Source organism: Homo sapiens, chromosome 1, assembly GCF_000001405.40.
Source record: "Homo sapiens chromosome 1, GRCh38.p14 Primary Assembly".
NCBI classification, from domain to species: Eukaryota; Metazoa; Chordata; class Mammalia; order Primates; family Hominidae; genus Homo; species Homo sapiens.
Genome location: NC_000001.11, coordinates 201,844,110 through 201,863,045, shown reverse-complemented (window position 1 = coordinate 201,863,045; position 18,936 = coordinate 201,844,110). Strand labels below are relative to the sequence as shown.

General features: G+C 40.0%; 1 protein-coding gene across 1 annotated transcript in view, besides 1 other annotated feature; it reads right to left on the bottom strand.

Annotated features, from left to right (window-relative positions):
• The window catches only part of IPO9 (importin 9), a 55,135-nt gene that overhangs the window by 21,246 nt on the left and 14,953 nt on the right, over positions 1 to 18,936 (bottom strand). Inside the window, exons 2-13 of the mRNA NM_018085.5 lie at positions 15,706 to 15,767; positions 15,408 to 15,494; positions 14,452 to 14,653; positions 10,854 to 10,942; positions 9,949 to 10,035; positions 8,332 to 8,451; positions 8,123 to 8,223; positions 7,864 to 7,922; positions 7,112 to 7,263; positions 5,852 to 5,950; positions 4,493 to 4,599; positions 4,052 to 4,191 (exon numbers count right to left, since the gene is read on the bottom strand). Coding sequence (NP_060555.2) covers positions 4,052 to 4,191; positions 4,493 to 4,599; positions 5,852 to 5,950; positions 7,112 to 7,263; positions 7,864 to 7,922; positions 8,123 to 8,223; positions 8,332 to 8,451; positions 9,949 to 10,035; positions 10,854 to 10,942; positions 14,452 to 14,653; positions 15,408 to 15,494; positions 15,706 to 15,767 — 1,305 coding nt within the window. The remainder of the gene's footprint in view (positions 1 to 4,051; positions 4,192 to 4,492; positions 4,600 to 5,851; positions 5,951 to 7,111; positions 7,264 to 7,863; positions 7,923 to 8,122; positions 8,224 to 8,331; positions 8,452 to 9,948; positions 10,036 to 10,853; positions 10,943 to 14,451; positions 14,654 to 15,407; positions 15,495 to 15,705; positions 15,768 to 18,936) is intronic.
• Positions 8,271 to 8,565: an enhancer, noted in NCBI's record as "tiled region #11581; HepG2 Activating DNase matched - State 14:Gen5'". NCBI's record gives its function as "activates a minimal TATA promoter and a strong SV40 promoter by Sharpr-MPRA in HepG2 cells {active_cell/tissue: HepG2}" and the evidence as "EXISTENCE:reporter gene assay evidence [ECO:0000049][PMID:27701403]".

The window sequence follows — 18,936 nt, the reverse complement described above, 5'->3', positions numbered from 1 at the left end:
GTAAATAGATGCTACATAATATGTACAACTCATTTGAGAGAAAAAGCATAACCTTGTATGATGAAAGCAAATGTGTGACCTGTGGTACAAAATCAATTTCCCAGTTTTCCCTTGTCTCTTCTGAGCAAAGTAGATCTTGAATATTATTAGACTAAAAAGACTTTACCACCCCAGTCCTCACCCCCAGCTCTCATTATTCCTTACCTGTACTACTAGTTAATCTTTTTTTTTTTTTTTTTGAGATGAAGTTTCATTCTTGTTGCCCAGGCTGGAGTGCAACAGTGCGATCTCGGCTCACCACAACCTCCACCTCCCTGGTTCAAGTGATTCTCCTGCCTCAGCCTCCCCAGTAGCTGGGATTACAGGCATGCACCACCACGCCCAGCTAATTTTGTATTTTTAGTAGAGATGGGCTTTCTCCATGTTGGTCAGGCTGGTCTCAAACTCCTGACCTTAGGTGATCTGCCTGCCTTGGCCTCCAAAAGTGCTGGGATTACAGGTGTGAGCCATGGTACCCGCCCACTTAATCTTCTAAGTTGCCATCTCCATTGCTAGTTTATTCCCACTTTTGGACCACTCTTTTTTTTTGAGATGGAGTCTTGCTCTGTTGCCCAGGCTGGAGTGTAGTGGCACAATCTCAGCTCACTGTAACCGCTGCTTCCCGGGTTCGAGCGATTCTCCTGCCTCAGCCTCCCGAGCAGCTGGGATTACAGGTGCGTACCACCACGCCTGGCTAATTTTTGTATTTTTAGTAGAGAGGGGGTTTCACCATGTTGGCCAGGCTGGTCTTGAACTCCTGAACTCAAGCAATCCACTCGGCTTGGCCTCCCAAAGTGCTGAGATTACAGGCATGAGCCACCGCGTGCAGCCTTGGACCACTCTTAAAACATAAATTATAGCTCTGATCATGTCATTCTTCTATTTAAAATCTGTCAATTAATTCCATAGTCCACCAAATAAAGATTACCTTAGTCATCACGTTATTCAAGGCTCCCTAAGATCAGTGACTCTAGCATTACCTATGATTTCCCTTTATGGTTTCCAAACTCAAGTACACATCCCTCCTTAGCAACTTACATCTTACTCTCCCAGCTCTCTGCCTTGTTCATATTGCAAGCCAACATATTCACCTCCTTGCATTACCTAATTCATCTCTTAGGCTGAAGCAATTCTAACTATCTCTATGCCACAGTAATTCTGTCTTTAGTGTTCTTACATGTTATATATTTCGTTTGATAGTCTAGCCACTAATGTAAGGATTACTACCCTTGTTTACTATAAGCTGCTGAGGAGAGACTATTCTTATTCAGCTTGTCACAGGGCTTAACTTGTTTACTCACACAATAAACATCTTGTTGACGGAAAACACTGAACAGAACCTAATAAACTGTGCCAGTCAAATTACGCAATACAGATGCTCCTCTGCTTATGATGGGGTTACTTCCTGATAAACACATCGTAAGTTGAAAATACTGTAAGTTAAAAATGCATTTAAATTTAATACTGAACATCACAGCTTAGCCGGGCCTACCTTAAACATGCTCAGAACACTTACATTAGCGTAAAGTTGGGCAAACTCACGTAACACAAAGCCTATTTTATAATAAAGTGTTGAATATCTCATATAATTTATTGAATACTATACTGTAAGTGAAAACAGAATGGTTGTAAGGGTACTTGAAGTATAATTTCTACTAAATGCATATTGCTTTGGCATCACTGTAAAGATGAAAAATCATAAGTCCAACCACTGTAAGTGAGAAACTGATAATGTACAGAAGCAGTTCCCAAAGGATGGTCCAGAAATTCCCTAAAGTTAAAACTATTTTCACAGTAATACAGAAACATTATTTTTTTCACTTTCATTCCTTCTTTTTTTTGAGACAGAGTCTCGCTCTGTTGCCCAGGCTGGAGCGCACTGGCACAATCTCGGCTCACTGCAACCTCCGCCTCCTGGGTTCAAGCAATTCCTCTACCTCAGCCTCCTGAGTAGCTGGGATTACAGACGCGTGCCACCACGCCCAGCTAATTTTTGTATTTTTAGTAGAGATGGGGTTAGGCCATGTTAGCCAGGCTGGTCTCGAACTCCTGACCTCATGATCCGCCCACCTCAGCCTCCCAAAGTGCTGGGGTTACAGGCATAAGCCACCATGCCCGGCCTCACTTTCATTCTTTCACAAGTATACAGTGGAGTTTTCCAGAGGTTATATGGTATGTGATATCATGGCTCTGACAGCCAGGGGAAAACATGTTTCCATTTCTTTTATTTTAAAAACAACTCAGTTTTAATCTTTAGTATGTTAAATATTAATAAATTAAAGCCACATAAAAATGTCTTTTAAATTATTGATAATTTGTAACCAAAAAGTTTCAGAATGGTTGGTGTAGAAAAGGTTTTAGCTACAGGTAGGATTAACAAATGATATATATTGAGCCTTTTTCCAGACTAAATAACAAATATTCTAAAATTTCCAAAGTTTTTGAAAAATCTTTGCTAGGGTAAACTCTATAAGAAATGTGTTGATGGGCTTCAGAAATCATTCAATGTGTAACTATGGGATGCCTACTCAAGGCACTTGTAGGATACAAAGATTAGACATGATTTCTACTCTCAGAGACCTTACTAGTAGGAGTAAGAAAACATATTCAACAATGCAGCATATGATAAGTACAGAGTGAAACAGGATATTCCCAACGCATCTGAGCTCTGGATGTACAACCATTTTAATTTGTGATTCAGAGAATGGAAGTGATGGACTGAGACACCCGATAATAGATTACCTATTTAAAATCACAGAGCAGAACATTTTCAAATGACATAAGCTACTCCCAGAACTATCCTATGGAGAGGAAGTAAATGGACCGAAAATGGAGCAAACAATACCAAAGGTTCCATGATTTAAGTACTGAGAGAGAAAGCAAAGGCAGTGTTTTCGGATGGTGATCTGGCTCCAAGGATGAGAAAAGGCATGGCATGGCAGAAGCAAGTAGCAGAAAATGCCACATAGACAACAATGATTCTCAGCTACTGCTCTGTATTGCGGAAGAAATCGGTCTAATAGTAAAGGGCTACCTTTTTTTTTTTTTTAAACCAAGTCTCGCTCTGTCACCCAAGGTGGAATACAGTGGTGTGATCTCAGTTCTCTGCAACCTCTGCCTCCTGGTTCAAGTGATTCTCCTGCCTCAGCCTCTTGAGTAGCTGGGACTACAGGCTCCTGCTACCACACCCAGCTAATTTTTATATTTTTAGTAGAGATGGGGTTTCGCCAAGTTGGCCAGGCTGGTCTTGAACTCCTGACCTCAGGTGAGTCACCTGCCTTAGCCTCCCAAAGTGCTGGGATTAGAGGCATGAGCCATCGCGCCTGGCCTACTTTTTTCTTTTTAAGACAGATGGCTAACATGGGTATGAGAATGGAACATTTTAATTATTTGGATATTGGCCAAAAATAAAGTTTGAGAAAAATGACAGGAAACAAACAGGAAGAATGTGCCTGATACAGAATGCCTGAGGGCATTCTGGACTTAACAATGGGAGCAGTACTCGATAATTCTCAAGGTACAGCAACCAGATTTGGATTCCATTCAAATGCCAAAAACAACCATGAATGGGAACGCCAATTTGGGAAGAAACATAAACATCACGGAAGAATTATGAACTAGGCAATATTAGATTGTCATTAGGTGAAGCTTGAATCGGCCTCTGGGCTGTTTTAGAGGTTCGGATGAGTTCAAGCTGTAGGGTGCAAACAATTTTCACTCAAAGGACACAAGAATATCTGGCCTACCAGTCTAAGTGAACAATATAACCAAGTTAATGACAGGTTTAAAGAGTTTCCTTTATATATATATATATATATATATATATTATACTTTGAGTTCTAGGGTACATGTACACAATGTGCAGGTTACATATGTATACATGTGCCATGTTGGTGTGCTGCACCCATTAACTTGTCACTTACATCAGGTATATCTCCTAATGCTGATCCCTCCCCCAACCCCACAACAGGTTTAAAGAGTTTCTAGAATCCTGGCACGTGCTGAAACATACCTGAGAGGTTGAGGTCTGCAAGGATGACATTGGTCAGGAACCCATGCATGTCAAAATGAATCCTGCCATTTTTCACACTGTCAGTGATGATGGCCTTCACTGAGCCTAGGGCAAGCATGCATGCCTCATGGATCTTCCACCTGTGAAAGGATACTACAGCCTAGTAAAACATACTAAACTGCCAAAAGAGATAAATATTTGAGGAAACAAGATTCAGAAAAGGGCACTCCAGCACAATCTCTTCCAAAAGAGTCATTTACCTTAAGCCCTTCCATTCTAACCTATAGCTGAAAAGAGTGAAATTTTAATAATAAGAGATTAAAATCTGTTATTAAATTAAAACCAGATTTTCAAATTAAGATAAAAATAAATCCATCCTTTCAAGACTTTTTAAGAAGGGGTAAACAAAAGCATCTTAACCAATTAGCGGCTCACTCTTACCAGTGCTCAGTGCCACTGTTTTTGGTTTGCTCAGCTTCTTGTAAATGTCGAGTGGCTGCAGCAGCCAGGGCTGCTGCACTTTCATTCTGGAAATCTGTGGCCACAGCCTATAGAGAGAGAAGAGCTAATAAATCTGTTTGTGCCCATTAAATGCATTTTAATTGTAAACCGCTTCAGTCATGACTGTTAGAAGTGATTGGTTCAAGCTCTTTCACATACATGTGCAAACCCCTAATTGTATTAAAAATGTTATACCAGTAGGTCAGGGTCTCTAATGAAATTAAAGTAGTATCTGTATTTCGGTAGTGCCTAGGCATTGTAAGGCTAACCAGTTGGCTCCTTTGGCTATATTCAGCAGAGCATAAGTGAGCAATAATAGATCTAGCTTTGGATGACAATGGACCAAATATTTGCTCTCTTGGAGACTGATGATAGAAAAATAAGTCTAATCTACTAATTGGAACTGAATATAATCTTTCACAGCTCCTTAGAAATACTAAATGATAATGAGAAGTGATTCATCAACAGAGAACAAATCTCCTACCCAACAAGAAGCAAGTGGCAGTTTCTTCTTAGTATTTCAGCCTAGAGACAACTCTATGCTCTAGTCAGAAGAGGCAAAGAAAACATGAGCAGGTATTTGGATGTTAATCTTTCAGCAATCTGTTTTGTTTTGCTAGGTTTGCCAACCTTTTGTCTGTGCTATAGATTCTTGTTGAAGAGTGAATTAAACTGAAATGGCTTTTTTTTTTTTTTTTGAGACCAAGTTTCACTCTTGTCGCCCAGGCTGGAGCGCAATGGTGTAATCTTGGCTCACCACAACCTCCGCCTCCCGGGTTCAAGCAATTCTCCTGCGTCAGCCTCCCGAGTAGCTGGGATTACAGGCATGCGCCATCACGCCCGGCTAATTTTGTATGTTTAGTAGAGATGGGGTTTCTCCATGTTGGTCAGGCTAGTCTTGAACTCTGGACCTCAGGTGATCTGCCCGCCTCGGCCTCCCCAAGTGCTGGGATTACAGGTGTGAGTCACCACGCCCAGCCATAAACTGAAATGTTCTTGATTCAACTACCCTTACTCCATGGAACACTTTATCCTCTATACAATTCTCCCCCGCACCCCGGCCCTATGGTCTGCACAATTCTTTTATCTAATATTTAGTTTTAAGTTAGAACCAGTAGCAATGATTTTAGAATTTCTGAGTCTCGAATTTCATTTCAGAAACTCTCTTGCATCCCCAATAAAGTCTGAGATAAAGCCACCCAACAACACTGCTCACCTTGGATTAGTTGTCTACAAAAAAGAAGAAATGCTCAAGTGACTGATAGAAATTATGTGGCTGAAGTATCAAGGTAAACTTACCAGCAACAAGTCTTGAGCTGCTATTCTAACAGTATAGGAGAATGTATCATCATCTTCATCTTCTACAAATTGTTGGGGGTTGGCTGTCCATACTTTAATCTGAAAAGATCAAGTTATGTCTTTGTGATGCTGCCAATCTGATTCATAGCTTTTCATCAACAGATACAGGAAGATTTCAACCTATTATCCTGAAAAAACTCTAGCCTTTTGCTGGATGCAATGGCTCACAACTGTAATCCTGACACTTTGGGAGGCCAAGGTGGGAGGACTGCTTGAGCCCAGGAGTTTGAGACCAGCCTGGGCAACATAGTGAGACCCCACCTCTACAAAAAATAAAAAAGTCAACTGGGCATGGTGGCATATGCCTGTGGTCTCAGCTACTCGGGAGGCTGAGGCAGGAGGATGGCTTGAGCCTGGGAGGTCAAGGCTGCCGTGAGCTTTGTCTACACCACTGCACTCCAGCCTGAGCAAAACAGCAAGACCCTGTCCCAAAAAGCAAACAAAACAAAACAACAACAACAACAAAAACTGAAACAAAAACTCTAGCTTAAAAAAATCTTTTCTTTTTGATGTAGAGAAATAAATACTATTAAGTAGCAAGGTAGGTAGCAATGGCTATTGCTCTCTTTTAGAATCTGGCTGATTACTAGCTCTCTGCCAATGTCAACCTGCTGTTACCCTTTGATAGATCGATTTTCTGAATAGATTAAGTCTGATAGACTATTTATTGTGAAAATTATGTCAATTCTTGTGCTGTTTTAAACGAGGCGTTATCTAATTTTTGAACGTTCTTTGCTGCTTTTGATGACCCACCATCAGGCTAATGGTCTGATTATTACATTTTACTTTAGGGAAGGAACAGATTCTCCTAAAAATCAGTGTCTTAGGTTAGTGGTCCTGTGAGATTTTCTAATGGCAAAAGTGGGCCAGGCACAGTCACTCATGCCTGTAATCCCAGCACTTTGAGAGGCCAAGGTGGGTGGATTGCTTGAGCCCAGGAGTTAGAGACTACTAGCCTGGGCAACATAGTATAGTACTTTGCTGGGAAAAAAAAAAAAAAAAAAAGCCAGGTATGGTGGTGAACTCCAAAACCTTGGATTTGGCAATAAAATGATGTCAAACCTTTCCCAGAACTTCACATGAAATTATTCTTTTTGTGTCTATTTTTAGAAATAAAGTGTTCACCTGACCAAGACCTCATATTCTTCAAGTTGCACTTTCCAAATACAAGATGGTAACTGTCTCTCAAATATTATTTACCTGCTCCTCAGTGATTTGCATGTACAGGATAATATAATAAATCAATTCAGGCAAGGCTTTCTTAACAGTGCTTTTGAATTTGCTATTTTCTAGTAGAGCATGGACAAATTCAAAAATGCTAAAGACGAGATTTTCAAAGCCCAGGACTTCACCTGCAGGAAATACAGAAGAGAAGAAATTAATGACAAGAAAGCAAAAGGAAAGCATATATGCAGAAAATGAACTACATAACCTTTGTAAATTACTGAATATTTAAAGTACTTGCTAATGATCATTCCTGAGGAATTGGGAGAGAGGGCTCAGAGGTCACAAAACGTAATTTTGAGGATATTAAATATTCTTTGGTTTTTCAAGTAAAAGAATCAGAAACACTGGATATATTTTCCAGTATGTCTATTGTTCTAATCTGAAATAATGAGAAATGTTAAAACAGAAACGAAAGATTCATGATCTGGGACCCCCAAATGAAACACAACAAAATGCCAGAAGTAGGCTAGATTAAATGGCCTTAAAAGTATCTCTTCCAATGCAGAAATTCTATGATTTTATGAGATTTATGCAACTACCTATGTGGAACAGATTAAAGATTGTCAATTCTCATTTCCCCACATCGAATACATCGAAAATAAACTGAATTAGAAAACACTTAATAGAGTGAAGCCTCTCAAGTTACTGTTTCCCGCCCCCATCTCTGGCTTCTTTTTCTTTTCCCACTAACTGGTATTTCTATAAAGATCAAATAAACTACATACCATCAGAATCCACAGGATCTTCTACTTCTTCTGTGTAATTTACTTCTGTCCTCACATAAGTATGATGAAGAGTAAAGAAATAGAATTTGGAGTCTGCTTTACATATAATCTACATGGAAATGTTACATATTCCAACACTAAAAGTAGACACCTTAAAAAAGCCTGTGTAAGAAGAGTGGAACCATATGAATGTGAAACCCAGTGCGAGATTCCTAACTATAGGTGGTAGTAGCTCCCTTAAACTTTCAAGAAAGGATATAAAGCTGCACTCTCGGTTAGGGTGTTCCAAACAATAGGCAGAATCTGCTGCATGGAGGACACCATGTGCTTTGGGAAGTTTTTCACTAGGGCTGTCACTGCCTAAGAAGTTAAGAGAAAAGGACCCAAGTTATGAGTGATATATAAGAAATAAATGATTTCAGACCAGCCCCTCAAACTCCAAATATTTCATTGGTAGTAAGTGTTTACCTTTAGGACCTCCATCTTAAACCCACTGTCAGATGTGGGGCCATCTGGTATCTGGAGGGCCTGAACAAAGGCCTCTGTGAACTGCTGTACCACGGGAAAGATCAGGACTTTGGCTGCACCCTGATAACAGAAACCAAAGTCAATACTGGACAAACCCCTAATCCATGGCTTCAACACATATATATCAAACACTGATATTTGAAAGGCACCTAAAGCTCTCTTCAGGCTCCAAGCCTGATCAGAAGAGAATAGCTATAAAGTCAATGAAGGTGTTACCTAAGATTTCATTTTTCCTTAACCAGCACTTGCAGTTCTTCATCAAAGCCCTCTTAAAAACTATTATGTAAGACCAACTTTCCTCCTAACTGCTTCTGAATCACAGGGATTGGTATTTTTCAGCTAGCTTTGCTTCACACAAGAGGGCCATAAAAGAGTAGGAAAGTTCTAAGGGATGACTACTATGAAAAGGATATAGGATAAGGTGTTTGAAGAAGTAAGACTCAAAAGAAGACTAAGCTTTTTACAAGTTGAAAATTCAATCAGGCCAGGTGTGGTGGCTCACACCTATAATCCTAGCACTTTGGGAGGCCAAGGTGGGAGGATCACTTGAGCCAAGGAGTTCAAGATGAGCCTGGGCAACATAGGGAGAGACCCCGTCTCTACAAATATAAATTCATTAGGCTGGGCATGGTGGCTCATGCCTGTAATCCCAGCACTTTGGGAGGCCGAGGTGGGTGGATCACGAGGTCAAGATATTGAGACCATCCTGGCCAACATGGTGAAACCCTGTCTCTACTGCAAAACAAAAATTAGCTGGGCATGATGGCGCGTGCCTGTAGTCCCAGCTACTCGGGAGGCTGAGGCAGAAGAATCACTTGAACCTGGGAGGCGGACGTTGCAGTGAGCTGAGATTGCACCACTGCACTCTAGCCTGGTGACAGAGCGAGACTCCATCTCTAAATAAATAAATAAATTCATTCGTTCACTCATTCATTCATTAGCCAGGAGTGGTAGCACATGCTGGTGATCTCACCTACTCGGGAGGCTGAGGTGAGAGGATTGCTTGAACCTGGGAGGTTGAGGCTGCAGTGAGCTATGATCATGCCACTGCATTCCAGCCTGGGTGACAGAGCAAGATCTTGTCTCAAAAAAAACCCAAATAAATAAAAAAAATACAAATATAGCTGAGTGTTGTGGTTCATGCTTATAACCCCAGCACTTTGGGAGGCTGAGGGGGGAAGACTGCTTGAGCCCAGAAGTTCAAGACCAGCCTGGGCAATACAGTGAGACCCTATCTCTACAAACATTTAAAAAAGAAAATCAGCCAAGTGTGGTGGTGCACACCACACCTGTAGTTCCTACTGGGGGTCAGGGGATCACTTAAGCCCAGGAGTTCAAGGCTGTAGTGAGCCATGATTGCACCACTGTAGTCCAGCCTGGGTGACAGAGCAAGACCCTGTCTGGAAAAATAACAACAATAATTTAATAAAAATGTTAAATCTATCTCTAATACTGGTTAGTGTGCTTTTTCGTGCTGCTATCATGAAATGACTCACTGCTCTGCATGAATAAAACTTTTAAGCATGAAGTCTGTTATTGATCCAAAGACCTGCTTACCTTTTCCAGCTCCTCCATGTTACAGATCATATGGGCACAAGTGGTAAAAATCTCCACGGCTCGGGAACGGGTTCGAATACCATACACCTGGAAGAAAGGTTACAGCATAACAGCATAGCCACGAGACTGGAGTGTGTAGGTATGTGTGTATCTCAGACTAGAAGTAAAACTATGACTAATGAATCCTCACATGAGATTGGATGCCCTCGAGAAATGGGAAATGTAATTCATTTATGTCCAGGAGGCAGACTTCTGTAATTCAGAGAATGAAAGGTAGCAGAATCATAATGTTGGAACTTACTGGAATGAACCTTATATAAGGGCCTCTGTGGGTTCATTTGATTAAAAAATACCAGACTAGGTAGTGCTTAAAATCCCAACACAGCCAATATATTTCCTTTAAAATGCAGACCATTGGTTGGGGGCAGAGGGGAATAGGGAAGTTAAAACATTATCCATCAGGTATTTATACCTTACTATAAATGAGTTATCATTCATATACACACTAATCAAATATATATGCAATATATTAAGGGTCTATTATGTGCAATGCAGTGATAGATTGCTTCCCATTACTTAGCTGAGGTAGGCAAGCGTAGGTGGGATAACTCAGTAAGAGGCTGGAAGTAGCATGAAGGAAGGCACTATTTATCTACTTAGGGGCTACTGGATGCCAGGAAGTACGATATGTGAAGAAATATTTCAGCTATTTCACACTTTTATCAAAGGCTTGCCCTTGTAGTTGAGTGAAAGGTCTAAGGTTAATGCAGATTCAGATCCAGATCTTTGTCAGTTCTAGTTTTTAGGTATTGAGATCAGTTGCAAACACCATAATCTCCCACCTGAAAGGCTGGGGGCTGAAGAGAGCCTGAACTCACTATAATCTTGGAGCTGAGATTTCATACCTCAGCCATGGTGAAGATCTTATACATCTCTGGGAGAATGACAGGAGCAACAAGTGGCATCTGTGTGTCTGTTACTTCACGAGTGAATTCTACAAAGAAAAAAGTAGTACTGTTAAAAAAAAAATACTGCTTCATAAAGATATTAAGTGTGATATTTTCTGAACTGCTTCTAGGTGGCAGTTCCCAAACAGACAGCACACAGGTAAAGACACTGGCCTGGTGGTCTCATTCTGTGAAAGCAAAAGTAGCAAGAGTTACTGATTATTTGTTAGAAGGAGAAAGAATAATATGGAAATAAAGAAAAATACAAGAGATTAAAAAAGAAAACTTTAATATAAATACTGAAAGAAAATCTGTAATAGAACTGCATAAAAGTCCTTGTGAGGTCAACTTGGGAAAATTCTGTATTAATTTATCTTGTGCCCATCTGTCAACATTCAGTTACACTTCGAGGTTTCTTACCTTTGCTTCTGTTTTCAGTACTTTCGCTTGGCAAGCTGGTTTGATGCATGTAATAAAATATGTACAGACTTACTAGGCCTCAACTCCTCTTTGTATATGTTACTCTTCTCAGATTTTATTGACCTAAAAGTCAGAGGCTGCTGCTAACTGGAACAAATGGGAATTTTCTATATAAATGTGACAAAAAGCAACCTATACACAGAATGAGACTCGAAGGTGACGGAAATATGGGTCGTATCTTTCCCTTCACGTCTCAAAAAAAAAAAAACCAAATACACCACACACAAGGCACTGAGACAGCACAAAGGACCCTGGATTCATGTTACAAAGCAGCAGAATAAAGCTCTTGAGTTCCAGTAACTATCCACTTTACCTGATGCTTTTCCACGTTATCACTATAGAAATGGACATATGGGCCGGGAACAGTGGCTTATACCTGTAATCCCAGAGCTTTGGGAGGTTGAGGCAGGAGGATCACTTGAGGCCAGGAGTTCAAGACCAGCTTGAACATAGCAAGATCTGCCAGTACATTTAAAAAAAAAAAAAAAAAAGCTGCATGTGGTGGCATGTGTCTGCAGTCCCAGCTACTTAGGATGCTGAGGCAGGAGGCTCGCTTGAGCCCAGGAGGTCAAGGTTACAGTGAGCTACAACAGTGCCACTGTACCTGAGCCTGGGTGACAGAGTGAGACCATGTCTCAAATAAATAAATAAATAAATAAAACTAAAAATAAAGCTAACCACTTGGGACATTTTGGGGGAAGATACACAGCTACAAACGCAAGCTGGCATTTTCAAGATTAAGGTACTCCACAATTTTGAACAATATCAATCCCCACGAGTCAAATGAAGATCAAATACTCAAGGTTGAATTTTCTTTACAGCTGTAATTTCCTCCTCAAGGATAAAGTCTGAGCTTTGAATGGTGAGTGTTCTATTTTATTTAGAAATTCAAGGAAATTAGTCCAAACAAATATGATAGATGGCATAATAACAAGTTTTATGAAAAATACAGTATAATTTAATTCTGCTAATAAAGTGCTTGACTGCTTTTTACTCTCCTATACTCATCCCTGGTATCAATTTATTAATACTTTATAGGTTTAATTCCAAAAGTTTTCTGAGGTGATTCAGCAAGTCAGAAAAATTCTAGGACTCCAGCAACATCTCAATCTCCAAACTTCTTTGAGAACGAAGAAAAAGCTGTATCTGGTGGATCAAATCTTCTAATCCTTAGCTGCTATATTTGCATTTCCTTTACACCATGAGCCTTAGTTGGTTCTCATCTATAAATAGATAAGTTTAATAGGAAGCCTCATTAAAGGGAAACTGGTATAGTATCTTGAAAAACTCTGAAAAGAATCAGTCCCATTCTCCTAATGGGCCTCTGTCCAACCACCAATGTCCTGCTATCTTCATGCATGCCTAAGTTTTTGTTGTCAGAGTACAGTCTACTCTCGTTTGAAAATATTTGGAGCAAGTATTTGGGAATGGGGCTTGGCTGCTAGCCACTCCATGTCTGGTGACTCCATTACAAAAGGAGACAAATTTCCCCCAACAGTTCTTTCCCTGTGGCTGGCAGAAAAGTGATCTCACTGAACAGTAATTTCCTTAGTCAAACACAATAAGAGCTCTTCAGCATCCAAATCAAGATAAATGTACAAAACCTTTCTCTCTAGGTTTGTCAAAAGAACCTGAATTTCATCTTGGAAGACTGAGAGGGAACAGGCTTCCTTTCCTTGGTAGAACATGTATCTGTTAATTGATATCCTGGCACTATGAAGTGGTGAATAAAGAATCCTAAAAGGCCAATTCCATGCAGAGGGGTGTGTGAAATCACCTGAATAATGAATGAGTCATTAAGCAGAAGAAAGGGCAATAAGCAGAGAAGTCAAAATCTGAGCAAGGAACATTCTGATCTTTTTGGTAAGTCTGTTCGGTATCTGAGCTAAAAACTGAAGCTTTGTCACAGGCAATCAATACGAATATAGTGGGTAATTCAAAAAGGCAGCTGGGGTCTGAGAAGAGGTCATTTTGAAACAAAAGGAGAAGAAAGATTTGCATTTGACAAAGAGTTGATATTATCTACCATTAACATCACATGGACTAGCAAAATTGGGCCTATGTGCCAAGTTCAGTAAACTGAGATTGAGAAAGAATAGAATTGGCATTCACAACTAAGCAAGAATACATATCAGGTAAGCTAGCAGGTCATAGAAAAAGAGATAAGATATTGGTGGGACTTCTACAAACCTATATGAACAAAGGAGAAAGATGATTTCTAAAGGATCAGTACAGGATGACTAAAGTCCAGGTAAGAATTTCTTGAAGGCAAAACAGAGTAGTGACTTCATTTAGGGAATAAGAAGCAGGGAGGAACTTGCAAAGGACTGGGAAACTCAGGCCATCCCTAAGGATATATGAAAGCAGATTCTGGGAGGGATTGATAGCTTAATCAGGTTTAGAAGAGATATCCATCAAATCTCTTTGAACTAAAAGTTGAAGTATTTTTATCAACTTCTCAGAACAGAGAGAAGGAAAAGATACTGAGACTACATATTCTCTAACTGGCTAAATGAAGGTCAGGATTACATGGCTATACTGTTTTTATCTTCTTTTTAAATACTTCTATAAAAATCCATTTTACAATTCTTAACTTTGCCTTGGTTGAACTAAGTGGACAAATAATATATAGTAATAATGATAATCATAGTAACTAAACTTTACTGAACAAGTCAATAAAGATAGATTAGCTAACATTTAAACTATACCAAAAGCTCCTTTGATGCAGACACTACTATCATCTTAATTTTATATAAAAGGAAACTCAGGCTCAAAGAAGGTAAGTGAAGGATCAAGGTGAAGCCACTACAAAAATCCAAAATCTGAATACTCCATCACTATGCTAATACTGTATCTGTAAGTGGTAGGTTTGGGAGTAGAAGTAATACTATACAAACTTAATTCCCTAGAAAAAAACAATAGAGCTGGAGGGTAGATGGAGAGATAAAAACTAGGAGGGAGGAATAACATCAGCAGCAATTCCTACTGGTCCAGGCCATTATATCACATAGCTTCTGGTAATACTCCTGTCGCTTGAGATCCAAGTACCAATACCAGGGAAAAGGGCTTCTGGTACCTGTCAGCACACGCATGGCTCCATGGACGGCATTTAAGTCTCCGCTCACCAACATCTCCATGAGCAGGTTGAAGAGTTGGGGCCAAGCTTCAGGCCAGTCCCAGTGGGCAATGGCTGACACTGCATAGGCCACACTGGAGCGCACTTTGCTTATCGATTCTCTCAACCCATTAGGCAATAGCTCCCGGATAACAATTTTTGCCTGTAAGGGATAAAAGTCCACCTGCTATTAGATCAGGTTAAAAGTGACTGGCAGAGCCCAGTTCAATTGGGAACTGTGTTGGAAAAACAATGAGTACAAGGTACTGCATGTCTACAGAAAACTCCTATACACAAACTTGACAATTCATTTGGAGGGTTCATCTGTGATCTCTAAACTTATGCAGTCCATTACAGTAGCCACTAGCTATACATAGCTATTAACATTTTAAAAAATTTAAAATTCAGTTCCTCAGTTGCACTAGCCCCATTTTAAGTGCTCAACAGCCATATGCAGCTAGTAGCTATTGTTTTAGGCAGCACAGACACAGAATATTTCCATAATTGCATAAAGCTCCAGTGGAAAACATTCCTCCAGACCTTATACCTCAAAATTTCTTGGGGACTCAGGATGACTGCACAGTACTGCACTAAGTACAAATGTTATTTCATTTAATTCTTAAACCCTTAGTTGGTATTTTTATTCTCACTTTGGAGATTTAGGAAATTGAGGCTTAGGTGTTAACTACATTTCCAATGATCTCATAGCTTGTAAAAAGCAAAACTGGAATTTGAACACAGACCAGCCTGATACTTGAGCTCTTTAATGTATAGCCCTATGCCCGCAATGCCAGCCACCAATCTCCTTTTCTGCCTAGTCTTTTGATTGCTCCATGCTGTCAAAGAATGTTATAGTCTAATCTCTTAAAATGGACCCTCAAATCTCCTCAGGTAGACTAATCAAGTAACTGACTTACCCTTTCTGTAGTTTCAGGAGGCCTAAATTTCTCTGATTGGGCACACCAGTGAGTCTCCACATATTGTTTCAAGATGACTGATGCCAGCTGTGAAGAGAATAAGCCAAGTAGTACAGCAAGAAAAAGATTTTTTTCACACATAAAAACTATATACATAGCCTGATACATCTGAAGTATATCTAAATCTGGCACAACATCCTAGGTTATTTATACACTGGCCTTATTTTTCTTTCCTATAAGAAAGTTTCATTACCAAGGAAAGGGAAACTATTTATAAATTGGGCCAGTCTGGACTTACCTGACGGATTGCCAGTGCCCCCTGGGGATCTACAGTCAGTTCTGCCAAGTGAACACCAAATTCTGAAAGAGAAAATTTTATTGAGTCTAAGAGTACCTAGGAAAGCCATAGAAATTTACTAAGCTCTAACCCTGATGCCAACAAGATTCCAGAAAGAAACTTAATCTGTTGTTTCAAAAAGAGCTGATAACTGCTAAGACTGATTCCTCCAAGTAAAAGAAACAAGTTGGCTTGCAGGACATGCCTTGTTACAATGAAGTTTCAACACCCTTACACTTTTTCCAGTCACTGCATAGCACCTTCCAGCCATCTTCTCTTCCAAGATGACAACACCTTCCTCTTAGACCAATTAATGTGGTAATTGAAACATGGAGCCTGGCGTGGTGGCTCACGCCTGTAATCCCAGCACTTTGGGAGGTCGAGGTGGGTGGATCACTTGAGGTCAGGAGTTTGAGATCACCTTGGCCAACATGGTGAAACCCCATCTCTACTAAAAATACAAAATTAGCCAGGCTTGGTGATGCATGGCTGTAATCCCAGCTACTCGGGAGGCAGAGGCAGGAGAATCGCTTGAACCCAGGAGGACGAGGTTGCAGTGAGCTGAGATCGCACCATTGTACTCCAGCCTGGGAGACAAGAGCAAAACTCTATCTCAAAAAAGCAAAACAGGCTGGGCGCAGTGGCTCATGCCTATAATCCTAGCACTTTGGGAGGCCAAGGCAGGTGGATCACAAGGTCAGGAGTTTAAGACCAGCCTGGCCAAGATGGTGAAAACCCCGTCTCTACTAAAAACACAAAAAAATTAGTCAGGCATGGTAGCGGGCACCTGTAATCCCAGCTACTTGGGAGGCTGAAGCAGAGAATTGTTTGAACCTGGGAGGCAGAGGTTGCAGTGAGCTGAGATCGTGCCACTGCATTTCAGCCTGGGCTACAGAGCGAGACTCCGTCTCAAAAAACAAACAAACAAAACAAAACAAAAACAAAATATCATGGGACCATCTATTCCTGAGGACAACTTAAAAGGTGAGATTTCACGAGTTGTCCAGATATATGCCACCAGTTATGAGCTGATTAAGTCCAAGAAAACCTGGCTTCAACAAACTTAGTCCTACAAATGAGTAGTTTCCAATAAGCAATGGAACTTGAACTGCACATTGGGAGGCTGTAAGTAACTCTTACTTCCAAATTAAAATTTATTTTTAAAAAATGATTACTAAAATAAATTTTGTTTTAGAGACAGGGTCTCACTCTGTCATCCAGGCTGGAGTGCAGTGGCATAGTAATAGCTCACTGCAGTGTCAAACTCCTAGGCTCAAATGTACTTCCTGCTTCAGTCTCCCGAGTAGCTGAGACTACAGATGCACGCCACTGTGCCTGGCTCCAAATTAGAACTTAGATCTAATATATACTTGCAAAGGAGTCAACTGTCAAATATTTCTTTGTGAAAAGAGGAGGAAGAATGTAAAACCAACAGTGCATCATAATTTTTACATCTCACATTGTAGGGCTGTGCTATCCAATGCAGTAGCTATTAGTCACAATGGCTACTAAGTACCTGTAATGTGGCTGGTGAGACTTGAGATGCCTATAAATGTAATACTCACTAGATTTCAAACAGTGTGAAAAAAAGAGGAAAATATCTTTTTATATTGATCAAATGTTGCAATAATACTTTGTCTATATCAGGTTAAATGAATATAGAGTTAAAATTTAATTTTATGTTTCTTTTTGCCTTTTTAATGTAGCCACTAGAAAATTTAAAATTTCACACATGACTCATACTATATTTCTGTTGTACAGCACTATGCTAAAGAATGAACAGCAGTTTTCTAGACTTGCTTACTACTGGTAGATACATAGGTCACAATAGGCTCATCACTTCCCTTTGGAGGGAGCTATGGATTGGTGTGATTAAGAGAACAGGCTGTTTAGGTTCAAATCCTGAAGCCACCATGCCTGTCATTAGGTAAGTTTCCTTTCTAAACCTCAGCTTCCTCACCCACAAAATAAGAATATTGGTATCAGGGCCGGGAAAGGTGGCTCACGCCTGTAATCCCAGAACTTTGAGAGGTGGGAGTGGGCGGATCACCTGAGGTCTGGAGTTCGAGTCCAGCCTGACCAACATGGAGAAATCCCGTCTCTACTAAAAATACAAAATTAGCCGGATATGGTGGCACATGCCTGTAATCCCAGCTACTCGAGAGGCTGAGGCAGGAGAATTAATTGAACCCAGGAGGCAGAGGTTGCGATGAGCCGAGATTGCGCCATTGCACTCCAGCCTGGGCAACAAGAGGGAAACTCTGTACGCCCCCCCCTCCCAAAAAAAATACTGGTATCAATATATCAAGCAATCCTTTTAAGACTGAATAATATAATATATGTAAAATGCTTTGTACAATATCTGCCATACTGGTAAAAACTTGAAAACAAAAATAAGTTATTTTGCTATTATTTTTTATTGTCTATCATGAATACACTGTTTGGCTTTCCCATCTATGTTCCACCTTAATTGGATTCTACTGAAATAGCCATCCAAAGGGCATTTATACAATAGAAAAGCTTAATACCAAGAAAGAGTTGTTACATGCAATGTTTCAGGTTCAGGGCTTATCCAAGTAACCAGGTTAATAACTGCTAAAAATGATCTATGTCCATATTTTACAAAATAATTTTTAAAGACTTACAGAAAAGCTGAACAGTACAGAGTTCATGGATATCATTCATCCATTTTCCTCTTACATAACCACGGTTCAGTGATCAAAAATCAGGAAATTAACATGGGTATAATACTATTAACTAAACTAGACTTGATAAGAACTTCACCAGTTTTTTTCCTTATTGTCCTTTTTCCTTCAGGATCCCACATTGTATCTGGTTGCCATGTCTCCTTAGTTTCTTCTAAAGTGTGACAGGTCTTCATTTTTGTCTTTTGTGACCAGAACACTTCTGGTGAATATCGATCAGTTATTTTGTAGAACGTGTCTCAATTTGGGTTTGACTAAAGTTTCCTCATGTTTTAGATTGAGGTTATACATTTTTGGCAAGAATACCAGAAAGTGATGCTGTGTCCTTCTCAGTATATCATATTAGGGAGTACATAATGTTGATAAAAATTTTATTACTGGTTATGGTAACCTTGATCACATGGCAAGGTCTGCTGGGTTTCTCTACTTATAGGTACTGTTTTTCCCTTTGTAACTGATCCAAATCTAGGGAGAAATATTTTGACAT